The sequence below is a fragment of the Homo sapiens genome, chromosome 14 (genome assembly GCF_000001405.40).
Source record: "Homo sapiens chromosome 14, GRCh38.p14 Primary Assembly".
In the NCBI taxonomy this organism is placed as follows: Eukaryota; Metazoa; Chordata; class Mammalia; order Primates; family Hominidae; genus Homo; species Homo sapiens.
The window spans coordinates 71432003-71451113 of NC_000014.9; the positions used below are offsets into that span (position 1 = coordinate 71432003).

A 19111-nucleotide genomic window follows, 5' to 3' on the forward strand; every position below is an offset into this window, starting at 1 on the left:
TGGTAATCAGTTGAGTGGGGAAACTCAGCAGGGCCTGTCTAGGTGGTGCTTCTTGCTTTCTTTTTTTCTTTTTCTTTTTTTTAATTTTTGAGAAAGGATCTTGTCTCTGTAGCCCAGGCTAGAGTACATTGGCGTGATCACAGCTCACTGCAGCCTCAAACTCTTGGGCTCAAGCAATCCACCTGTTTCAGCCTCCGGAGTAGCTGGGACTCTAGACCTGTGCCACCTTGCCTGACTAATTTTTTATTTTTTGTAGAGATGAGGCCTTACTATGTTGCCAGGTTGGTCTTGAACTCCTGGGCTCAAGCAATCCTCCTGCCTCGGCCTCCCAGATTGTTGAGATTACAAGCATAAGCCACTGTGCCTGGCCTGCCTATCTAGATTCTTGTTGGCCTCTCTGAGCATGAATTCCTTCCCTCGGGGTCTGAGGCACAACCTTCTCTAGAATGGGGGCCTAACAACCTACAATCACACAAGGTAGTCAGATAATTTCTTTATGGCCAGTATTTACACAGAAAGGTGGAGGGAAAGTTATAGTAATGTATTTATGTTTTATGACTAGCTCTGAGGAAAGGGATTTCTGGTTTCTATGATCTGCCTTGGGAAAGAGGGATTCCAGTTTCTATGGTCAGCCTCAGCAGAGAGTGGGACTGAGAGACAGGAGGGCAGGAGAAGGTCAGAGAAAAGCGTTTGCTTCTGAGACCTTCATTTTGGGGTATTGTTTTCTGCACCTCAACAGAATGAACAATCAAATGAATGTTTGATTGTACAACATGCACATTTTTATTTAATTTCATAGTACTGAATAAATCCTTTTCACATTCATTTGCGAACTGCTTTTATATGCCCCTGATTTGTAATCAAATACTATTTTGTTTTTGTGGCTGGGCTGCTATGGAAATAGGAAGTAAATGTTACAGGTAGCTCTTCCACTGAACATGCACAAATGCATGTGTTGGTGTGTGTTTGTATGAAAGGATTATAAGATCTTTTGCTTAGAGTGTGAATGGAAAGGGGTATAATAGAGTTTTATATCTGGAAAGAACCTTATTTGTTATCTGTTTATAGGTGAGAATGGATATTTACAGAGATCAGGTGGTTTGACAAGGTTATTCTGCTGTATAGTGTTAGAGCTAAGGCTTAGAACTCTGAGTTTCTGGAGTTAGAGAGCACTCTTAATGCTTTGGGAGAAACTTAGCAGTATTCTTTTTACCCGTTCAGGGAACTCAGAGTCTCTATTTCCTGAATTATCTTTTGGATTTTGGATATTTGCAAGATTAGATTATCAATGGAGTTTGAAGGTAGACTCTTGTCTGGATATTATTATTATTTGAGATAGTGCCTCATTCTCTTTTCCGGACTGGAGTGCAGTAGTGCAATCACAGTTCACCATGGCCTCAACCTCTCGGGCTCAAGCAATCTTCCAACCTCAGCTTCCTGAGTAGCTGGGACTATGGGTGTGCGCCACCACGCCCAACTAATTTTTGTACTTTTTGTAGCGACGGGGCTTCACCATGTTACCTCGGCTGGTCTCAAACTCTTGAGCTCAAGGGATCCTGCCACCTCAGCCTCCCAAAGTGCTGGGATTACAGGCGTAAGCCACTGCACCTAGTGCTTGTCTGGACATTCTTAAGCATGCTGTCCATGAGTTTTTTTTTTCCTGAGAAAAGATCATTGAAGACCAAAACTTTGTCAAAATCGGAGTTTTATCACATTCTTACATTGCAAAATAAGGCACTTTTCATTGAAAAGGATTTTAATACCTTCCATGGAAAACATTCTTGAAAATCCAAGGCAATTTCATAGTTTCACCTTTTCAAATGTTGACTTTAAATGAATTATGCCCAACCTTTATTGTAAGGATTATATCTTATCTATCTTTATATTCTCTACAGCCCCTAGCACAGAGCAAAATGTCTAGAAAGTTGGAAGGTAGTATATTTAAAATGCCTCTCTATTTTCCCACTTAAATCCTTAGTGAGAATTACTTCACTTCTCTTTGTCCTTTGCTTTTCTCTTCCATGTGATTGTGACTAATGATCAAAGGAAACCCTTAGAATTGTTGAGACATTTGGAATACAAAATTTCTCACTAATTAAAAATTGGATCACTGGACCAGAACCTATTAATTTTGGCTTTCATTTGTTGAACTCTTTCTGTGTGGTAAATATTTGTCAGATTCTTTGAGTACAGAGATGAGTTTGACAGCCTCTACTGTTAAGGACCTGAAATCTAGTAGATGAGACAGATGTCCTGTATGTTTAGGTGCAGTAATGGATATATTTTAAAAGTGTTGAAGAAATACATATACTCTTGATGTTTCTTATTAGCAATATGTAGAAGGATATGAGTATCACAGATGAAGTAAGTTTAATCACAAAGTAATTAGATTTTTAAAAAGCTAAATTTTATGTTTTCATATGGATGTTACAAGTCCATGGAATAATATTCCAAGGTAATACAGTGAAGCTAAACTATATAAATTTTATTCAGATTTCACCTGTTTTTCTGTTCCTGTCCTTTTTGTTTTCCAGGATCTAATCCAGAAATGCCACATTTCATTTATACGTATGCTCTTTTGTTTGGTTTTGTTTGAGACAGGGTCTTGCCTTGTTGCCCAGGCTGGAGTGTGGTGGGACAATCATAGCTCACTGTGGCCTTGAACTCCTGGGCTCAAGCGATCCTCCCACCTCAGCCTCCTCAGTAGCTGGGACAACAGGTGTGCACCACCATGCCCAACTAACTTACTATTTTTTTGTAAAGTCAGAGTCTCTCCCTATGTTGTCCAGGCTGGTCTTAAACTCCTGGGTTCAAGTGATCCTCCCACCTTGGCCTCCCAAAGTCCTGGGATTACAGGTATGAGCCACTGTGCCCAGCAATATGTATGCTTCGTAGAAATTTATTTTTACACAAATGGTAGCATACTGTACTATGCTTTCATTGTGTTTTATTCCAGTTTTTACCTAGTCTCTTAATAATGGACTTTAAGTTGTTTCCAATCTTTTGATATTATTAACAGTGCTACAGTGGCTATCCTTGAGCTTGCAAGTATGCAGTTTATATGGAGGCATTTTTGGGTGGAAGAATATATTCGTATCTTTATTGCTAAACTGCCCTGCTTAAACATTGTATACATTTACACTCCTCTCAGCAATGTATGTGTTTTTCTTTTTTCTTTTTTTTTAAATTATACTTTAAGTTCTAGGGTACATGTGCACAACATGCAGGTTTGTTACATATATATACATGCGCCATGTTGGTGTGCTGCACCCATTAATTCATCATTTACATTAGGTATATCTCCTAATGCTATCCCTCCTCCCTTCCCCCACCCCACGACAGGCCCCGGTGTGTGATGTTCCCCTTCCTGTGTCCAAGTGTTCTCATTGTTCAATTCCCACCTATGAGTGAGAACATGCGGTGTTTGGTTTTTTGTCCTTGTGATAGGTTGCTGAGAATGATGGTTTCCAGCTTCATCCATGTCCCTACAAAGGACATGAACTCATCCTTTTTTATGGCTGCATAGTATTCCATGATGTATATGTGCCACATTTTCTTAATCCAGTCTATCATTGATGGACATTTGGGTGGGTTCCAAGTCTTTGCTATTGTGGATAGTGCCGCAATAAACATACGTGTGCATGTGTCTTTATAGCAACATGATTTATAGTCCTTTGGGTATATACCCAGTAATGGGATGGCTGGGTCAAATGGTATTTCTAGTTCTAGATCCTTGAGGAATCGCCATGCTGTCCTCCACAATGGTTGAACTAGTTTACAGTCCCACCAACAGTGAGAAAGTATTCCTATTTCTCCACATCCTCTCCAGCACCTGTTGTTGCCTAACTTTTTAATGGTCACCATTCTAACTGGTGTGAGATGGTATCTCATTGTGGTTTTGATTTGCATTTCTCTGATGGCCAGTGATGATGAGCATTTTTTCATGTGTCTGTTGGCTTCAGCAATGTATGTGTTTTACCTCCCCCTTGCAGGTAGCGTGTGATTTAACAATTCAATTTTGCAAATTTCATAGGTGAAAAAATGGAATTTTATCACTATTTTTCTGTGCATTTCTCTTGTTATAAGTGAGGTTGAACATACTATCGTGTGCTTAAGAACAATTTCCCTTTCTGTGAATTGACTCTGCCAATTTATCTATGGAAATAATGTTTTTATATAAAAAGGAAATTAGCACTTTGTGATAGGGGCTGCTAGTTTTTTCCAGTGGGTTTGTATTTTGTCGTTTATGGTAATTTTTGCTATATATGAATTTATTTTTGGATCATCAGGTTTATTACTATTCTACTTCATGGTTTTGGAATTTTATGTCTTACTTAGGTCTTAGGCTCTTCAAGATTATGAAAAAATATCTTGCTTTTAATACTTTGTGGGGTTTTATGTTTAAGACTTTAAATCAATTTGGGATTTATTTTAATGTGAGTTGGTATCCCATCCTCTTTTCCATGTGGCTGTATAGTTGTGCCAGCACCATTTATTGAACAATTTATCTTTTCCACACTGATGTCACATTTTATCTTATCAAATTCCTGAAGTCTTTTTAGAATGTTTGTTGTATCCATTGATTTGATGGCTTGTTCATGAACCAGTTTTAGACCTTTTAAATTATTATATATTTATAACATATTTTATACTATCTGGCAAATATTAAAGCTGGTCCCCCTTATTACTCTTCTTTTTTATAATTGCCCTCATTGTTCTTGTTTATTTTCCATATAAACTACAGACATACCTTCTGAATTTTTTTTTTTTTTTTTTTTTTGAGACAGAGTCTCACTCTGTCACCCAGGCTGGAGTGCAGTGGCACGATCTCGGCTCACTGCAACCTCTATCGCCCGGGTTCAAGTGATTCTCCTGCCTCAGTCTCTGGAGTAGCTGGGACTACAGGTGCGTGCCACCATGCCTGGCTAATTTTTTGTATTTTTAGTAGAGACGGGGTTTCACCGTCTTAGACAGGGTGGTCTCAATCTCTTGATCTCGTGATCTGCCTGCCTTGGCCTCCCAAAGTGCTGGGATTACAGGCATGAGCTGCTGCACCCGGCCAGCTTTTGAATTTCTAAAAGAATATCCTGATAATCTTATTGGGATTGCGTTAAATTTACTTATTAATTTAAAATTTTTAAAGCATTGATCCTCTAAGAATTTGTTTTGTGTAGCTCAAATATTTCTCATCTGCTTTTAAAAAAAAGTTGATTTTACAAAATTTGCTGGGAGTGGTAGGGGCGGCTCATGCCTGTAATCTTAGCACTTTTGGAGGCCGAGGCAGGAGGATTGCTTGAGCCCAGGAGTTCAAAACCAGCCTGGGCGATAGTGAGACCCTGTCTCTTAGAAACTACATATATATTTTACAAATTTATTTTTCTTTGAGGCAGAGTCTCGTTCTGTCACCCAGGCTGGAGTCCAGTAGCATGATCTCGACTTGTTGCAACCTCTGCCTCTGTGGTTCGAGGTATTTCGGGGTGCCTCAGCCACTTAAGTAGCTAGGATTACAGGTGTGTTTCACTTCACTTAGCAAATTTTTGTATTTTTGGTAGTTTCACCATGTTGGCCAGGCTGGTCTCGAACTCCTAGCCTCAAGTGATCTGCCCGCCTGGACTTCCCAAAGTGCTGGGATTCCAGGCGTAAGACACCGCGCCTGGCTTATTGTACAAGCATTTCATTACTGATACTACAGAGAGCAGTTACTCATCATACTACCTCTATCACAACAAACATTTCTGTTTTCCCTTTACTTTTAGTGATGCTGAATCATATTTTAGGGCCTTTATTATTATATATTCTGTAATTAGCAAGGCATCATGCATACAGTAGGTAAAAGTTTAGAGAGCTTGTCCATACCACTGTGGGATCCTCAATAGGAAGTAATTTGGAAGTATCTATTGAAATTTAAAATATACACAGGCATGTACCGTAACTCTTTAGTTGTTTACTCAGCATCTATCCTAAAGAAAACATGGGCCGTGACTCACATACTGTTTTTTTCAGTACCTTCTGTCACCCTTGTTATCTCCTTACATTTTAGCCATTAAATTCTGTTAAAGAAGATGTGAAACCTTTTAGAAGTGGTTCATAGCCCATGCTGTGCACTTTTAATTTGATTCTCTACCTTACTTTTTAGTTAAACAAAACAAAACAAAACAAAACAAAACTCGTCACCATAGTAATTCTTTAGATGTTAGAATCAGCTAGGTATGCTTTTTTTTCTCTCAAACTTCTTTAATCATCACCCACATTTCACCCCAGTTCCGATAATTCCCTCTTTCCCTGTTGAAAATCACCATAATGAGCCTTGGCCCCCGATTGCACGTCCTTGATGAGTGTGTTGGGGACAGAAGTACTCTCAATCCCCTGTGGCCTTCCTGCTCTTGTTCCCACTCCTGACCAGCCCACATAATGAATCCTGTTCTCAAAGCAAAGATCATCTCCACCCACATCAGCAGCACCTTTTGTTCTTCGTTCCTTTTTCATCCTTATTCCCAGATCTCAAAATATCGCTCCCAATATCTTTGCAGTCTTTACTTTCATTCCAGAGGATTCAACAGTATACATTTATGCGCATGTGGTAAAAGGACCACGGTTGCTTTGGTACCAAACAGACATGAACAAAAATTGCACCAGAAAACAGAAAAATTGTTTGTGCAGAATTCTAGAAAAAAATCCTCTTGCCTGTCTCCACATCAGGTTGAAGGGGAAGAGGAGAGGGCCATCGGGAATCTGGGAATTAAGGAAGTAAGGAGGTAGAATTGGAATGTTTAAGCCACCAAGTAACTATTAGATTGGTGCCTGGGTTTTGGGTCATGCTCTCATGTGCTTCTGCCTGCAGCTTACTTGCCTCCCTCTTGGGCTGGTTGGAAAGCCGTGGGCTGGTTACTATGGGAATTGATGGGTGCTGCTGGCAGTGAGAGAAGGAAAGTACTTGGAATTGATACAGAAATACTAGGAGAGCAGGTTTTTTTTTTGCCCTCTGCTTTCCTGCTTACTGTTTTTTGATTTGATTTAACTAATGTGGTTTTAGCTGAAGAGAGCCTTTCCAAGAGCTCACCTGTGGTACCCTGAGGAGGAGTTGAGCTGTCATCACTCTAACCCAGGAAGACCTCATGGAGAGGAGGGCAACACAAAGGATGGCTAGTTTCTCAGATGAATTTCTGTTTCAGCAACTGGCTTCTCAGGCTTCATTGAACTCAAAATTAAACCCAAGCCTCTTTTTATACTGTTAAGAAATGTGCTGCAGACAGGAGGGGGAAAGTCAGTATTTAATTCTCTCTTCTTCACTACCGTCTTCTTCACTACCACTCCTCTCCCTCTTCTTCACTGCCACCACCCCTTGCAAGGAAAAGGTAGGTGGAGCATTCTGTGTTTGTCATAAATTTAATGATTCTGAAATGTTGGAAATAGAAAACAGATGTTTTAATGGGGTGATACCCACATTGGAAAGCATCAAGGTCAAAATATATTTTATGAGTCAACTTTAATTTGATTAATAACTTAAAACCCTCTACCATAGTATATGCTACTTTATTTTCATAACTACTCATGAGTATGGAATGGAAAACATTAATTTATCTTTCTAAGAAAAGTATTTGGCTGGAGGAGAAAAGAATATTAAAGTGTCATGGACATTATAAAATTTGGTAGCACAGTCTTTTTTCCCCTACATTTTTAGTTTCAGTTCACTGTTTCTGTTGTTTCTAAATATTTTACCACTAATGAAAACCTTATTTAGGTAAAACGTTTTCTTTTGATTTAAAAGATTTTTGTTGAATTCCTTGCCCAGATGTGAGAGAAGTGTCTACATCTATTCAAACTTTAACTTTGGGTCTTAGAGGTGATGAATCACTTGGCAGAACAACCATGAGATGTTGAATAATCTCATGATTTGGTTGACTTATTTTTAGAAGCCACTCCCTATTAACTCATTTAATTCCTGTTATACGGGAAGAGGGACAGGGAAAGGATTGGAAGAAGAGGTCAGTCATATACAGGCCTTGCCCTCCTAAAGCTTCTGAACTTATTTTTTGTTTGTTTTTTGAGACAGAGTCTTACTGTGTTGCCTAAGCTGGAGTGGCGCCATCTCAGCTTACTGCAACCTCTGCCTCCCAGGTTGAAGCAATTTTCATGCCTCAGTCTCCTGAGTAGCTGGGACTACAGGCGTGCATCACCATTCCTGGCTGATTTTTTTCTATTTTAGTAGAGATGGGGTTTCACCATGTTGCCCAGGCTGGTCTTGAACTCCTGAGCTCAGGCAGTCTGCCTGTCTCCACCTCCCAAAGTGCTAGGATTACAGGCATGAGCCACTGCCTAAAGCTTCTAAACTTGTAGCATAAGTAAGATGATTAAAAAAATAAAATATGTCTAGGTACAGTGGCTCATGCTTGTAATCTCAGCATTTTGGGCAGCCGAGGCAGGCCGACTACTTGAGTCTAGGAGTTTGTGACCAGTCTGGGCAACATGGTGTTACCCCGTCTACAAAAAATACAAAAACTAACTGACCATGGGTGGGTGCCTGTAGTCCCAGCTACTCAGGAGGCTGAGCGGGGAGGATAGCTTGAGCCTGGGAGGTCGAGGCTGCAGTGAGCTGAGATCACACCACTGCACTTCAGCTTGGGTGACAGTGAGAACCCATCTCAAAAAAAAAAAAAAAAAAAAAAAAAAGGAAAAGTAAAGAAAAAGAAAAATCTGAAGTGAAGAGTATATTCAGATAAGAAAGAATAGTTCAGTTTCCCTGGAGTGGTGTATATGGGGAGTGGTGTACAGAGAAATGGATTTGAAAATTTAGGTTGGAATTGACTTGTCTAGGACTTGGAGTGCCTAATCAAAGAATTTTTACCCTTTTAATGTAGGTATTGAGAAACCATTGATGGTTTTGGGGTAGGTGAAGGTGCGTGATACCTCTTTTTTCATACTGAACTTGAATTTTGTCTTTAGCTGTATCTTTGCATAAAACTGAAATTGTTTCTAAGTTCTTTAAAAGATATCACTAAGGAAAGTTAAGATTCAGTGTAAAAAAACAAATTTCAGACTTACTATTTGGGAAAGATCATTAAATCTAGTTGTTTGTTTAATGGATTATAATTCTGATGGTATAAATTTTCAGCATCTTGTTACCTTGGTGAGTTCATGGCTTTGAGGTGACTGGAAACATGGTGTTGTCTGTTTGAATAATGGAATTTCTGCAACTTATTTTACATACACAGCCTCTTAAGTCTGCCACTGATGGAGGTTATTTATGGATCTGTTTCTGATCCAAAGTCTTGCAGAGGGAGATTTTCCCTTGGAGCATAGGCTGGCCAAAATATTTAGATGGGATCTGGTGTGGCCTTCCCTAGGCTGGCTTCCATAGTCCCAGAAAAGAGCCAGCTTCCTAGTGGCCTCTGTCCTTGTATTGCTGCCCAGAAGTTCCCAAAGGATCTTGGGTTGAACCTTTAGCCATCTAGATTATTTATAAAAACATAGCCATCATACTGCTATTTGGAAAGGGTTATACTTTTATGCTTCTTTTGAGCTTAAAGTGGTGGCATGGAGGGACATAGTCTCTAAGATTCCTGCATTCAGGTACCATGTCTGTCATGCTCATTATTGCCTCTCCATGGCAGAGTATAGTGCTTGGGACATGTAAGTACTAAATAAATGCTTGTTGAATGAACGTTGGATAAATCTCGGGTAATTGTTCGTATACAGTAACTACTATAGTGGATGGAAAGACTGGCTAAGTTTTTGATTAACACTCCTTTCTCTTAGTTCCGTAGGTTTTAGTTAGTGATAAAGATTAAAACTTTTTTTGATATGTTGCTTTAAAATGTTAGTAACACTTTAAAGTCCTTTTTAGATAATAAAATAACCATGTAGATCAGGAGTAACTTAAAATGTATGGCCAGGTGTGGTGGCTCCTGCCTGTAGTCCCAGCACTTTGGGAGGCCAAGGCAGGCAGATAACCTGAGGTCAGGAGTTCGAGACTAGCCTGGTCAGCAGGGTGAAACCTCGTCTTCACTAAAAATACAAAAAATTAGGTAGGCATGGTGGTGCATACCTGTAGTCCCAGCTACTTAGGAGGCTGAGGCAGGGGAATGGCTTGAACCTGGGAGGCTGGGGTTGCAGTGAGCTGAGATCGCGTCACTGTACTCCAGCCTGGATGACAGAGCAAGACTCTGTCTCAAAAAAAAAAAAAAAAAAAAAAAAAAAGAAGTAACTTAAACTGTAAAATCTTGCGGGCTAATTAAAAAAATTCAGAACATATAGTATTGACATTCTCTTCCTTTTGCATTAGAAAGGGTCAGTATCCTAAATTATTTAATAATGTATGTCTTTTCCAGCCAAGATTTCATTTACTTGATTCAAAGCCCAGAGTATAGATGGAAGCATAAGAAGGTTTGCCAAAGCATGGAAGAGTAATGAGATTTTTCCCCTGGCAACTTGGAATTTATTTTTTTAAATTATAGTAATTAACATGAAAAATGTTATTTTGTTAACATCTAATGAAGAGAAAGTTGAAATAAATGGAGAAATGTCTATAAATTTTTTTCTTTGTGTTGTACTTTTTTTCTTTTGTCTATAAATATTAAGTTTTTTCTGATAGGGCAAAATAGGAAAATAGGAGAAAACAGTGATTGTTTAAAGATTTGATGATTGGCTAAGTGTGGTGGCTCATGCCTGTAATCCCCACACTTTGGGAGGCTGAGGTGGGAGGATTGCGTAAGCTTAGGACTTTGAGACCAGCCTGGGCAACATAGTGAGACCTTGTCTCTATAAAAAAAATAATAAAATAAAAATTAGCCAAGCGTGATGGCATGTGCCTGTGGTCCTAGCCACTTGGGAGGCTGAGATGGGAAGATCACTTGAGCCCAGGAGGTCAAGGCTGCAGTGAGCTATAATTATGCCATTCTACTCCAGCCTGGGTAACAAAACAAGACTGTGTCTCTTAAAACAAACAAACAAAAAGATTTGATAATCATAAAAGAGCCTATGTTTTTGTGACGTCTTACATTTTCTTAAGGATAATGTATGGCATGTTGCACATTGAGATGGTTATTGGAATATCATTTAGAAACCTCTGGACATAATTCATGTTGGAACCAGTTTACAGTATTAGTTAGGGAGGTAAACTTTGTGCTTACAGTGCCTGTGTTCAAAATGTCCTGAGATTCGGTTTTTATTCTGTAAGAAATCTCAGTGTTACTCTGTCTGAAAATATTTAGCCTTTCAGAATTCCATTTTATAATTTTGTAGTCCAGTATCTAGTGTGAAGGAGGTAATTGTTGCATCATACACAAGACTTTAGTGATATTCTAGGTACTTGTCTGTTGCTGATCATATTTTTTATAAAAGTAATTTTTGGGGCTAATCAATACACGAATTCTGGAAACTGGTAATATTTAATCATTGATAAAGAATTTTATCTTTTTGTGCTTGTTTGTATTTATAGTTCCTTGTAATCCTTTTTATGGGCTTTTGAATAAATATAAAATGAAATTGGTTTTCAAATGGAAGCCACTTATCAAGTTGAAGCAGAGATGTTGCCAGTATTTAATGTACTTGAGATGACATGCAATAAGACCTTTGGAAAACCAACAAGTGTGCTTCCAGGAGCCCTTCCCTAATAATCTCTGCCTTGATGGAATTATTTTTCATGATGGTAATGAGCTTGTGTTATGCTAAGCGGGTTAAGCAGAATAATTTCTACTCTGTAGAATTTAGACTTTTAAAACCCAGACTTACAGTATTAGATGGCATACACATATATCTGCAACCATAGTTGCAACAACACTTTTCTGAGAAATAAAGGAAATCACTAGGGACAACTTCTGTTACAGAGGTGCCACACTGTCCCCCACTGGGGACCCACTGTCATCCTCTTGCTGCAAATAACTTGCATAGGAATCCCCCTCTCCACAGGTCTGTGGAGTACATTCCTTGGCACCTGCCTAGGTAGAAGGGAGAAGAGCCTAGAGTCACACATGTTGTATCTTGGACCCATAGGAGATAAATAGTATGTGAAGTCCAGACAATCTTGTTTTTCTTCATTTATTAGTTTCTGTCCAGGCAATCCTATCACAGCCACTAAAGCAAAGCAGAACAAAAACATTTGTGAAGGTTAGATGTCAGCGGTGTTAGGATGTTCCATGTCTTATGTTCAGTTACCCTGAAGTCTAGTTTCTGCATATACCTAGCAAGTACATTAGCCAATTCACGTTCTCGAAAGTAATACCGATTGTTGCCTCTTAGGTGCTCAGAGCGTTTACAAATAGCACGGAGCTACAGCCCTTCCCACCTCTCTGTGAACACAAAGAATGATTTCATTTACTTCAATGAGAACACTATAAAATTCTCAATCAAATTAGCATTCACTCTCAAAAAATAAAAGTATTCCATTCAGTACTTTTTTGGGGGGTTATAGGATAGCGTTTTGAAATCAGAGCAACTTCAGAAGAAGGTAAAAAGTTCCCAGACTCTCCTAATTCATGGTTCTCAGAATAGGGAATGAATATCCACCGAATTTTTCAATGCCTGAGACCATTTCCTATCTACAGTTCCCAGATTGGCATTTCTTTTGCTCATCCTGGGAGCTTGGTTGTGGTTTACTTTTTTGTAAAGACAGTAAGTGTTCTCAGTGTGACTGTGAAAAGCAAGACTGACCTCTTTCCCTTTGGTCCCTGGAGAATGGTGTCATGAGGTGTTTTTGAGCCAGGCCCAGGTAGGTGTCTGCTGCTCCCTCTTATTGGCACTGAGAGAACATAGTTGGACCCTTTAGACTTTCTACCTGCATACTGTTGAGTTGGAGTTTTTGTATTATGTGAAGGAGTCACAAAGGATACTCTCAGCTTTGGAATGTTATAAAGAAGCTGATGAAGTGCTCTTTGCCACTAAAGCCTGTATAGGGAGCTACTAGCTAGTGCTTGTTCTGTGCCTAGAAGAGACAGTTCCTAAACATGGGAAGATACCTCCACCCCAGGACCAGGTGGTTCCAGGTGGTTCTAGGCTGAGCAAAAGCTAACAGATACCACATTTAAGTATAAAATATTTGTGATATGAACTTTAGAAGCATTTTATTTGGAGAAAGAAAACATGTTCATATGAAATAATTATAGTTAGTGGAAGACAACATGCAATCTAATTGCTTCATTGACAGTTTCTACTTATCCTGGCGTAAGAAAAAATCCATTTATTAAGCTGAAAATCTTCTGATGTCATAGAAAGAAGGAAAACTTTGTTCTTTCAAAATTGTGACCTCCTGTATATTTCCTGATATGTAGAGAACTCTCAATTGTCTGAGGCCTTGGTGAGAGAGTAGGATTAGAATCAGAATTCACTTTTTTTGTCTTAAGATGAGAGAAGTTATCAGCTGGAGCTGAAATTTAATCTTGTTTAGCTACACTGATCACTGTTTCTTTCTCGGGAATTTTATTTTAAAATAAAGTCTAAGTTTTTTTTTTTAATTCTTGTATCTAGAAACAAAGTCTGATTTTAGCCTGGCAGAATTTGTCTGTACTAATTTTAGTTTTTAGATGTGCATGGGAAGAGAGACTGGATAATCTCTCTCAAATCGGTTGTACTGGTGGTTCACTTAAGTGCATATGTACTATATGGAGTCATGCATTTGATATTAATATTACACAATTATCTCTCAAATGTAAAACACTCTCAGTGTAAATATTTCCAACATTTGTTGATTGTAACATTTGGATGACAAATATTTCTTACTCGAATTACTACTTTTGCAAAATACATCTTCTCTTTCAGTTATTGTAGTTGTACCAAAGTAAGTAATTTAGATATTAGGTAACTTAACAGAATTGTTAATTGAAACCACATTGTTATGTTTATTTTATTATTTATTTATTTTATTTTTATGGAGACAGAGCCTTGCTCTGTTGCTCAGGTTGGAGTGCAGTGGCCCAGTCATAGCTCACTGTAGCCATGACCTCCTTGGGCTGGAGTGCTCTTTCGTCTCAGCCTCCTGAGTAGCTGGGTCTACAGGCATTTGCCACCATGCCCAACTAATTTTGTTATTTTTGTAGAAGATGGAATCTCACTGTGTTGCCCAGGCTGATCTTGGACTTCTGGGCTAAAGTGATCCTCCCACTTTGGCCTCATAAAGTATTGGGATTACAGGCATGAGACACCATGCCTGGCTCACACTTTTTGTTTATTTTAAAGGAATTGTTTTTTGCCAACTAAGTAAGTAAAAGAAGCTGATTTTAGCTAATTCAGAAAATAGGAATCAAAAAAGAAACCATGCTCATTTGGGTTTCTAATATTTTTTTCTTATATTTCTTTTACTCTTTTTCTATGCATATGTATTTTCTAAAACAAAATTGGAATTCTATTGTATGTATGTTTTGTATTCTGCTTTTTATGTTTAGCATACCTTTTGAATTTTTTATCTTATTTAAATAATTTTTAGAGGCTGGATATGGTGGCTCACACCTGTAATCCCAGCTCTTTGTGAGGCTGAGGCAGGAGGATCGCTTGAGCCCAGGAGTTCCAGGCTGCAGCTGAGTTATGATCATGCCACTGCACTTCAGCTTGGGCGACAGAGCGAGACACTGTCTCTAAAAATATAAAGAAAGAAAGAATTTACTATTTCATCTTGTTATATATTTGTGTAATCACTTGTTACAAATCAGTCTTCAGTGTTTTTTTGTGTGTGTGCATTTTTATATAAATGCTTGATTGTTTTCTTAGGATAATTATCTAGGATAAGAATTATTAGGTCAGAGTGTCTGAATGACTTTTTCTGTTGCAGTCCCAAATTCTCCTTCTGAAACAGTAAGGGGTGAAACTCTTGCCTTTTCTTCATCTCTCCTTGACAAACCATATTTGAAAATACATTTCCAATTGAGTTAAGTAGATCCTGCAAATAAAGAGAGATGGGCTCTGTTTTTTTTTTTGTTTTTTTTTTTTTTTTTTTTTTTGAGACAGGCCCTTGCTTTGTTTCCCAGGCTGGAGTGCAGTGGCATGATCATGGCTCACTGCAACCTTGACCTCCCAGGCTCAAGTGATTCTCCTATCTCGGCCCCCTGAGTAGCTGGGACTACAGGCATGCACCACCATGCTCAGCTAATTACATTTTTTTTTTTTGGTAGAGATAGGGTCTCACTGTGTTGCCCAGGCTGGTCTTGAACTCCTGGGCAAGTGATCCTCCTGCCTTAGCCTCCCAAAGTGTTGGCATTACAGGCATGAGCCACCACGCTTATCCTCTGTTAGCTTTTATGTTAGTATTGTAGTGAAAGGAAAATTTGTAGGATATAATAAAGAACAAAGCTTGAAAATAACTTTATTCAAATGTTCATAGCCTAAATAAGAGGCAGTTTAGATCTACTCAGCTGGATTTGCTGTGGGACCCCTAACAAGCCTATGGTGCTATGGTGTACTTGGGTTTCACAGCTCACTTTAGGGTTGCCTTTTAAAATTGATGGCAGATGCTTCCTAAGAGTTCTGATTATTCTGCCAGTGCAAAATTATGGGGATGCTATTTGGTGTCACTAGGTAGTGGATACTTTACTATGGTTTACTTAATCTGATTTTTTAAAAGCATGTACTGTGGATTTTTTTTTTTTTTTTTTTGAGACAGGGTCTCACTCTGTTGCCCAGGCTGGAGTGCAGTGGCATGATCTCTGCTGACTGCAGCCTCTGTCTTCTGTGCTTAAGTGATTTTTGTGCCTCAGGCTCCTAAGTAGCTGGGACTACAGGTGTGTGCCACCACACCTGGCTAATTTTTTTTGTATTTTTTTAGTAGAGACGGGATTTTACCATGTTGCTCAGGCTGGTCTCGAACTCCTGAGCTCTGGCAATCCGCCTGCCTCTGCCTCCCAAAATGCTAGGATTACAGGTGTGAGCCACCATGCCTGGCCTACTATTGATTTTTTTGTTAGAGTGGTATCCAGAATATTCATTTAATGTGCATAGTTATTTGACTAATGGCTCATTGTGAAAGTTCATGGTATTCCAAGGTTTGTTGAGCCCCTCTGGTCAGTGACAATGCAAGACATTTAGCTTTCTGTTCTGTGGCCAGAGATATTTTCTTGTGGCTTCCAGAACAGTCCTGTGAGGAGGGTGATGGAGCAAGTGGATGTCATCTCCGTTTTGTAGATGAGGAAACTGAAGGAACTTGTCTAATGCCCCTTGGCTATTACATGGCAGCTGCCATTCTTCTTTCTCTTAGTTCTCTTTCCTTTATTTTGCACTTTTTTTTCCTACGCTTCCATCGCTTTCTTGGTTGTCTTTCTGGTAGCAATAACATCATCCACACCAATGATTATAGTAATAACTGACCTTTATTGATCAATCAGTTGCCATGTGCCACAGAGTTTCCTAAGTGCTCTAATGTATTGACCTTCACCTCAGTCCTATGGAGTAGGTATTATCCTCTTTTTAGAGCTGAAGAAACTGAGGCCCAGAGAGGTTAAGCAACTTGCCCAAGGTTTATGGGGCTAGTTGTGTTCCCAGGCATCTAACTCTAGCCACTGGAATTCTATATTCTGAAAACCGTTTGACATTTATAACAAGTATAACATGAATTTTCAAGTTGGAATAAAGAAGACATTTCTGAAATGGGCTGAAATAAGTGGAATTGGGGAAAGCTGAAGATGTTTTGCATTAATGTGTTATGTTTCCCTTGAACTGTAGCCAAGAGACTCTTCATAACAGCCTGCATTTCAAGTCTAATTGTAAGCCGGGTGTTGTACCTGCCTGTAGTCCTAGCAACTCAGGAGGCTGAGGCAGGAGGATTGTTTAAACCCAGGAGTTATAAGCTGTAGTGCTCTATGCCAATTGAGTGTCCCTACTAAGTTCAGCATTTCCTGGGAGTGGGGGACCACCAGATTGCCTAAGGGAGGGGTCAACTGGCCCAGGTTGGAAACTCCTGTGCTGATCAGTAGTGGAATTGTGCCTGTGAATAGCTGCTACACTCCAGCCTGGGCAACATAGCAGGACCCCATCTCTTTAAAAGAATTGTTTTAAAAAATGACAACAGTGTTAATAGAGCTGTTTACTCTCTTAGTTTTCTCATTTATAAAGTTAGGCCTGGAGAATAAAGTCATTACTATGAGAGACAGGTGTTTGCTCTTTGAGTCAGCCTGCTTCTCCAAAGTAGGAGAGCTGGTTGATGGCAGGACTGGGTGACCTTCATGGTGATTAAAGCCAGAGGGACAGCAAAAGGCTGCTGCTTTTTCAGGTTTCCTCTTTGGTTTGCCAAGGCCCTGTTGTAAATTACCTAATTAGTAAGACTACCTTTCAAGGAAGGAATCAGGAAATTTAAACTCTAGTTATGGTTTTAGTTCAGCTTTGTGTGGATGGCTTGATTAGCTGGGAGAATAAACCAGATTGGGCTTTTGTTTTTTTCTCTGAACAAATGAAGTTGTCTGGGGAAGAGTAATTGAGACAATGGGCAGAATTCTACCTGGTGAGTAATTTACTACTGAGCTCCTAGAGAGCTGAATTCACCTTTTCCCTTTTCTTGTCTTTAAGATACAGCTAACATTAGTCACAAGGCTACACATCTGGTGACAGGGATGCCTCTAGGTCCTTATTTTTGTTCAGATAATGGAGCACCTGGAAGTTATGTGATTTTAATAGAAAATCAGGAAATACTGGTATACTTAATTCTATCTTAGGAACGAAGAACGATTTTACTAGCAGAAAATGAACACAGTTATATGTACGTAACATAAAATCACAACTGCTGGCTCAGGGTTGGAGGTGAGGTGGGGGGACTGTCTCAGTTAAGCATGATTTATTAATGTTATTATGAATTCTTTTAGTGCCAGTTTTCTGCTACTGTTCTATTTGTTCTGCTATATGAGCTTTGTTGGTATTTGCTTGTAGGTATACTTTGGCAGATGCCAGAAGGCTAACATTGGGAGAAAGGTCTTAAAATTGAGAAAATTCTCCCACTAATTTGTTCTGTGAATCAGGAAGAAAACACGCATTGACTCATTTTTTTGAACAGGAACTGTCTTTTTCTCAGATCTTTTAGCTTATTTTTTAACCTTAAAAATGATATATGTTCATTTTAACAATGCAAACAGTAAAATAAAACTTAAAAAATAAAAATTATCCCAAATCCTAAACCCAGAGATATATGTAATATTTCTGCTAAATATATCTTTATATAATTTTTCTATTACGATTATTTACATTCTTGATAGTGTGTTTATGTGTTAATATACAGATATACCAGAAATAAATATATGTAACTTTATATTTAGATTTATATTCTGTCATATTTCTATTTGGAGGGCTTACTGATTTTCTCATCACCCTTGTACTGATACAGTAGATTTAATTTACTTCCTAAGGTGTCAGTTTATAGCTCGATAGTGTGTTCTCTAAGACTCTGTACTCATTTATATAAAAGGATTTAAAATCTTTGTAATAAACCTGTTCATTAAACAAAACTTCACAGAAATGAGTCATTCTGGGTAGCCAAACTTTCTATATCATTAAGTGTTCAGCTAGTTAATGAATAAAAAAGACATCTTGACTATTGTTGATGAAAACTTTTCTAGATTACAGACTTTTAATTTATGGCTCTATCTAGTACTGCATTCAACTTCGGAGCCATAAAAAGTTTTATTCTAAAATATTTGAGAAATTATCAGAGAGATGTAAATTAAAGCTGCAATGTTATTTACCTGTTAGAACGGCTGTTAGAATGGCTGTTATTAAAACCTGTTAGAATGGCTGTTATTAAAACCTGTTAGAATGGCTGTTATTAAAAAAAGACAAAAAATATAGCAAGTGTTTTGAGAGGATGGGGGAAAAGGGAACCCTTGCATACTGTTGGTGGGAATGTAAGTTGGAATAGCCATTATGCAAAACAATATGGAGGTTCCTTAAATTATTAAAAATAGAACTATCATGTGATCCAGCAGTTCCGCTGCTGGGTATATATCCAAAGGAATTGAAATCAGTGTTTGAAGAAGTATCAGAATTCCCATGTTTATTGTGGCATTATTCATGATAGCCAAGATATGGAATCAATCTAAGTGTCTAATAACAGATCTGTGGGTAAAGAAAATATGGTATATATACACAATGGAATACTGTATAGCCGTAAAAAAGAAGGAAATGCTTTCATTTACAATAACATGGATGA

General features: G+C 38.6%; 1 protein-coding gene and 1 pseudogene across 54 annotated transcripts in view; both read left to right on the forward strand.

Annotated features, from left to right (window-relative positions):
- Positions 1-19111, forward strand: part of SIPA1L1 (signal induced proliferation associated 1 like 1) — a 420734-nt gene that overhangs the window by 111527 nt on the left and 290096 nt on the right. The window contains exon 1 of one of the 54 annotated variants that reach the window (NM_001284247.3): positions 6937-7355. The exons of the other annotated variants lie outside the window; for them this stretch is intronic. The gene's annotated coding sequence lies outside the window, so the exon portion shown is untranslated. Of the gene's footprint in view, positions 1-6936; positions 7356-19111 lie in introns of those variants that run through there. 54 annotated transcript variants of the gene reach the window in all.
- RN7SL683P (RNA, 7SL, cytoplasmic 683, pseudogene) lies at positions 16687-16956 on the forward strand (annotated as a pseudogene).